Source organism: Homo sapiens, chromosome 7 (genome assembly GCF_000001405.40).
Source record: "Homo sapiens chromosome 7, GRCh38.p14 Primary Assembly".
In the NCBI taxonomy this organism is placed as follows: domain Eukaryota; kingdom Metazoa; phylum Chordata; class Mammalia; order Primates; family Hominidae; genus Homo; species Homo sapiens.
In genome coordinates, this window is record NC_000007.14 from 101,064,421 (window position 1) to 101,071,174 (window position 6,754).

Genomic DNA, 6,754 nt, shown 5'->3' on the forward strand with positions numbered 1-6,754 from the left:
CCAGGCTGGAGTGCAGTGGTGTGATCTCGGCTCACTGCAACCTCCGCCTCCCAGGCTCAAGCAATTCTCCTGCCTTAGCCTCCCCAGTAGCTGGAATTACAGGCACGTGCCACCACACCCAGCTAATTTTCCTATTTTTATTAGAGACGGGGTTTCTCCATGTTGGCCAGGCTGATCTCGAACTCCTGACCTCAGGTGATCCACCTGTCTTGGCCTCCCAAAGTGCTGGGATTATAGGCATGAGCCACTGCACTCGGCCTCCCGGCCGCTTCTCTACCCTCCTCTTCCCACATATCTCTCTCTAGAACCTGACCCATCCTGCAACTCCAATTCCACTTCCTCCAGGAAGCCCTCTCTGATACCACCTTTGTCTACTTCTCTCATTGCGTTCATCATTTCCCCTTGTTCGCTCCAGGGTGAGGATGAGGCTTTGTTACTTTCTGTACCCCACAGCACCTAACACCGTGCCTTGTGCATAGAAGATGCCCTGAATGCTTGTTAACTTTAATTAAAACTTCTCTCCCTTGGCCAGGCACAGTGGCTCATGCCTGTAATCCCTCCCCTTTTTGGGAGGCTGAGGCAGGAGAATCACTTGAGCTTGGGAGTTCAAGACCAGCCTGGGCAACATGGTGATACTCCATCTCTACAAAAAGTCTTAAAATTAGCTGGGCATGGTGGTGCGTGCCTGTAGTCCCAGCTACTTGGGAAGCTGAGGTGAGAGGATTGCTTGAGCCTGGATTGTCGAGGCTGCAGTCAGCTGAGATCACACCACTGCACTTCAACCTGGGCAACAGAGTGAGACCCTGTCTCAAAAACAAACAAACAAACAAACAAACAAACTCATCTCTCTTGGCCAGGCACAGTGGCTCATGCCTGTAATCCCAACACTTTGGGAGGCCGAGGCAGCAGGATTGCTTGAGCCCAGGAGTTCAAGACCAGCCTGGACAACATAGCAAGACCCCATCTCTACAAAAAATTAGCCAGGGATGGTGGTGCACACTTGTAGTCCCAGCTACTCGGGAGGCTGAAGTGGGAGGATCACTTGAGCCCAGGAGTTGGAGGCTGCAGTGAGCTATGATCATGTCACTGCACTCCAGTCTGGGCCACAGAGCAAGATCCCATCTCAAGACAAAAAACAAAAACAACTCATCTCCACAAAGTTGTTTTTGTTTGTTTGTTTGTTTTGTTTTGTTTCTTAAGACAGAGTCTCACTCTGTCACCCAGGCTGGAGTGCAGTGGCATGAACTCAGCTCACTGCAACCTCCACCTCCCAGGTTCAAGCAATTCTCCTGCCTCAGCCTCCCTAGTAGCTGGGATTACAAGCACCTGCCATCACACCAGCTAATTTTTGTTATTTTTAGTAGAGATGGTGGGGGGTTTCACCATGTTAGCCAGGCTGGTCTGGAACTCCTGACCTCAAGTGATCCACCCACCTTGGCCTCCCAAAGTGCTGGGATTACAGGCGTATCCACAAAGTTTTTTAAACATCTACTGGCTGGGCGTAGTGACTCACGCTGTAATCCCAGCACTTTGGAAGACCGAGGTGGGTGGATCACCTGAGGGCAGGAGTTCAAGACCAGCCTGGCCAACATGGTGAAACTCCGGCTATACAAAAATTAGCCGGGCATGATGGCGGGTGCCTGTAATCCCAGCTACTTGGGAGGCTGAGGCAGAAGAATTGCTTGAACCTGGGAGGCAGAGGTTGTATTGAGCCGAGATCATGCCACTGCTCTCCAGCCTGCGCAACAGAGGGAGACTCCGTCTCAAACAAAAACAAAAAACCGTCTCCTGTTACATTCACCCTGTCCTTCTTATAATCCTTTTGGGCTTGTATCAACACGACGTGACCAAGTTCTCACTTGTTCTGGTTACTTCACGCATGCTTACACCAACCCCACAGAAAGCCAGCCCCTGTGGGCCACAGAGCCCAGCTCAGGCAGTGCAAGCTGTGGGCCCCCTGGGGCTCTCTGTCTTCTGCTTTCCTCCCACGGCCGAGCCTCTCCCTTTCTGGAAGGGATCAAGACAAATGGAATGGTAAGCAGAGCTTATTTCTGCATCCCAGGGGGCCCTTGGCTTGAGCATAAACACAGCGTCTGATCTTTCTCCTTCTCCTCTTCTGAGTCTTTTCAGGTCACCCTCAGTCACCAGACACCCTGGGGGTGGGGCAAGAATGACAGGAGGCTGGAAGTTCAAGGACCATCTCCTGACCAATAAATGAAAATGTATGCCTCTCCCCCCGCCTGGGGATGCATGGAGATGAGGGAAATCATTTTCCAAAGCATCTTGTAAAATTCAGCTCTCTTGCAGGCAGATTATAACACGGCTTTTGAAGAACAGGAGGGGTCTTGCCGTTTAGATCTCCAGAGGTTGTGCTAGACCCGGGGGAAGACGTGACCAGTCGTGCTTTGCTGCGGTGGGTGATGTGACTCTGTAGGGCCTGTTGAAATGACACCCCCAAGGTAGGCAAGCCTGATTCATCTGCGATGATACAGCAGGTCGGGGAGCTGGCGGCTTCCTAAGTCAGACCGCCTGATGAGAGGCAGGACTCACAGGGGAGCCAGGAAGCTAAGGAAATTTACAGCAGGTCGTAGCCAGGGAAAGTGGAATTGAACCTGGGTGATCATCAGCCTGATTAGCTCAGTGCCTCCTGGTGGGAGCCAAGGGCGGGAGGCAGCGCAGGGGAAGAGGGGGCAGGCAGTCAAGTCAGCATCATCAAGGTGGAGTTCCAGGAGCTGTGGTGTGCTAAGGTCAAGAGCAACTGGGCCAGGCGCAGTGGCGCACCCCTGTAATCCCAGCACTTTGGGAGGCCGAGGCGGGCAGATCACGAGGTCAGGAGATCGAGACCATCCTGACTAACACGGTGAAACCCTGTCTCTACTAAAAATACAAAAAACAAAAACAAAAACAAAAACAAAAACAAAAAGATTAGCCGGGTGTGGTGGTGGGCACCTGTAGTCCCAGCTACTCGGGAGGCTGAGGCAGGAGAATGGTGTGAACCCGGGAGGCGGAGCTTGCAGTGAGCCAAGATCGCACCACTGCAGTCCAGCCTGGGCGGCAGAGTGAGACTCCGTCTCAAAATAAATAAATAAATAAAAATTCAAACTGTGAATCTTTGGGAAAAGAGGGCCCGTAATGCCAGGTGAGGACTGCATGACTTTATTCTCCATGACCAACACAGGCCACTGATAGCCCCTGCCAGGTGGAGGCATTTCCCATGCCTTCCAAAATTGCCCTGATTGCAATAATCACGCAGCCCTTTGTGAGCCATTGGTATAAGTCAGGGCTGGTACCAGGATTCATGCATACACATTAATTCATAGCTCCCCAACCTCCGTTTCTCAACCCAGCATGCCCTGAAAGGGTTCCAGGCTTCCAGAGAGAGTGAGACCACAGCCCTCAGGCCACCATGCAGGGCTTGCCAGGGGCTGGAGCCCTGTCATCCCTGGTAACTGTGGCCTCCAGCCTTGCAGATGCAATCATATTTCCCTTGATTTTTTTTTTTTTTTTTTTTTGAGACGGAGTTTCACTCTTGTCGCCCAGGCTGGAGTGCGCTGGTGCAATCTCGGCTCACTGCAACCTCTGCCTCCTGGGTTCAAGTGATTCTCCTGCCTCAGCCTCCCAAAGTGCTAGGATTACAGGCATGAGCCACTGGGCCAGGCCCTGTGCATGTTTGCTTCCCACTATGATAGCACGCTCAGGCAAGCGGACTGCCCGTCTCTAATACCAGTCCAAGCCCAGGCTCATGGCTGGCAGAGCCAGGTTTCTCCTGACACATACACAGTGTTGGGATTCTCTGCCCTGAGCAGGGAGAAGCCTCTGTCAACAGCACTGGAAGTATCTCTTTCTATGCTGCAGAGGTAGACCAGATGGACGCAGCAGAGACGACCTCTTGGGCATTCTCATGTCAGAGTTGAGAGGCCCAAGCATTCAGCATTTTCTCATCTTCCTCCCTTACGGAAGGAGGCTGCGTTGCAGACACCCGAGTTGAGAATATCCAGGCCTGAAATTTGGTTCAACAAGTCAGAGATGCCGCAGAGCACCACTGCACTGATTTGAAGCTAAAACGGCCAAGGGTTTGCTGTGGCTTCGCTGCTTAAACCTGGAGGGCAGGCTGAGCCCAGGAGCCTGAGGGTGAGCCCGGCTGTCCCCACAAGATTCATCCTCCAGGCACCAGATCAAGACCTCATACACACCTCGGGGCGGAGCTAACTGCTCATACTAGTTCCCTGGGGCCGCCATCACAAAGTACTACACTGATGGTCTTTAACAAAAGAAATCTATTGTCCCACAGTTCTGATGGACAGAAGTCCAAGACCAGGGTATCCGCGGGGCTGGTTCTCTATGAGGCCCATAGGGAGAATCTGTTCATGCCTCTCCCCCCAGCTCCCGGTGGTCGGCTGGCAATCTTTTGCATTCTTTGGCTCGTATAAGCATCACTCCAATCCCTGCCTTCGTCTTCATATGGCATTGCCACTGCAGGCCTGTCTCTGTGAATCAATTTCCCTCTATTTTTTTTATTGTTTTTGAGACAGAGTCTCGCTCTGTTACCCAGGCTAGAGTGCAATGGTGCAATCTCGGCTCACTGCAACCTCCACCTCCCAGGTCTAAGCGATTCTCCTGCCTCAGCCTCCTGGGTAGCTGGGATTACAGGCATCTGCTACCACACCCGGCTAATTTTTGTATTTTTAGTAGAGACAGGGTTTCATCATGGTGGCCAGGCTGATCTCGCGCTCCTGACCTCAGGTGATCCACCTGCCTTGGCCTCCCAAAGTGCTGCGATTACAGGCGTAAGCCACCACTCCCAGCCAATTTCCCTCTGTTTTGTTTTGTTTTGTTTTGTTTTGTTTTCTGAGATGGAGTTTCACTCTTGCTGCCCAGGCTGGAGTGCAGTGGCACAATCTCGGCTCACTGCAATCTCCGCCTTCTGGGCTCAGACGATTCTCCTGCCTCAGCCTCCCGAGTAGCTCCTGTGTACCACTACACCCAGCTAATTTTTTTTAATTTTTAGTAGAGACAGGGTTTCACCATGTTGGCAAAGCTGGTCTCGAACTCCTGACCTCAAGTGATCCACCCGCCTTAGCCTCACAAAGTAAGGGATTACAAGCATGTAATTAATGCTGGGATTGCAAGCATTACCATACCCAGCCTTTTTTTTTCTTCTTCTTCTTCCTTCGAGACAGAGTCTTGCTCTGTCACCCACTCTGGAGTTTAGTGGCGTGATCTTGGCTCACTACAGCCTCCACCCCCTGGGCTCAGGTCATCCTCCTGCCTCAGCCTCCTGAGTAGCTGGGACCACAGACGCACGCCACCACAGCCAGCTAATTTTTAAACTATTTGTAGGGATGGGGGCTTTGCCATGTTGCCGAGGTTGGTCATGAACTCTTGGCCTCAAGGGATTCTCCAGAGTGCTGGGATTACACGCGTGAGCCTCTGCACTCGGCCTAGAGGACTTTTGACTGACCCTCAATGCAGAGGGCCGAGCTGGTTACACATCTCAGATCATTTCATTGCCAACAGTCTGAACAAGACTCATCCCTCATCAGATTCCCCACTACACTCCTGTGCCTTCTACCTCCCCGCCTCCATCGTTGCCCACTCACTCCAATTCACTTAATATATATTAAGTATGCATTAATACATTAATAAACCAGGTGTGGTGGCTCACACCAGTAATCCCAGCACTTTGGGAGGCTGAGGCAGGTGGATCACAAGCTCAGGAGATCGAGACCATCCTGGCTAACACAGTGAAATTCCGTCTCTACTAAAAATAGAAAAAAATTAGCAGGGTGTGGTGGCACACGCCTGTAGTCCCAGCTACTCGGGAGGCTGAGGCAGAAGAATCGCTTGAACCCAGGAGGCGGAGGTTGCAGTGAGCTGAGATTGCGCCACTGCACTCCAGCCTAGGTGACAGAGAGAGACTCCGTCTCAAAAAAAAAAAAAAAAAATATATATATATATATACACATATATATGTATATTAATATAGTCTTTTTTTGAAACAGGGTCTCATTCTTTTACCCAGGCTGGAGTGCAGTGGTGCGATCACAGCTCACTGCAGCCTCCATCTCCTGAGCTCAAGTGATCCTCCTATCTCAGCCCCTGCAAGGAGCTGGGACTATAGGTGCACACCACCACGCCCAGCTAATTTTTGTATTTTTTGTAGAGAAAGGGTTTTGCCCTTTTGCCCAGGCTGGTCTCAAACTCCTGGGCTCAAATGATCCTCCCATCTCAGCCCCCGCAAGTAGCTGGGACTATAGGCGCACACCATCACGCCCAGCTATTTTTGTATTTTTTGTAGAGACAGGGTTTTGCCATGTTGCCCAGGCTGGTCTCAAACTCCTGGGCTCAAGTGATCCCGCCCACCTTGGCCTCCCAAAGTGCTGGGACTACAGACGTGAGCCACCGCACCCAGCCTTATTAATATAGTTTTGAAAGTTATATTATACTGTTTAATCTCTGTGTCTTAAGTTTATATACATGAATGTGTTCTGTGGATCTCATCTTTTCTGTTTCTATTCTTTCGGATTTTGCTTGTTTGTTTTTGAGTCAGGGCCTCAAGAGGGCCCCATATGAACCATTAACAGATGTTGACCATGTTCTGGGTTACAAGGAACCTCAGTAAATTACAAAAAATTTGCCTGGCAGAAATTATGGTTTTTCATTATCATAAACATTAAAAATCAATAGCAGGCCAGGCATGGTGGCTCACACCTGTAATTCCAGCACTTTGGGAAGCCGAGGCCGGCAGTTCACT

The 6,754-nt window shown here is 51.0% G+C and overlaps 1 annotated feature.

The window, feature by feature from the left end:
• Positions 1,416-2,285: an enhancer, noted in NCBI's record as "H3K4me1 hESC enhancer chr7:100709117-100709986 (GRCh37/hg19 assembly coordinates)". NCBI's record gives its function as "activates a minimal SCP1, AML or CMV promoter by ChIP-STARR-seq in primed H9 embryonic stem cells {active_cell/tissue: H9 hESC(primed)}" and the evidence as "EXISTENCE:reporter gene assay evidence [ECO:0000049][PMID:30033119]".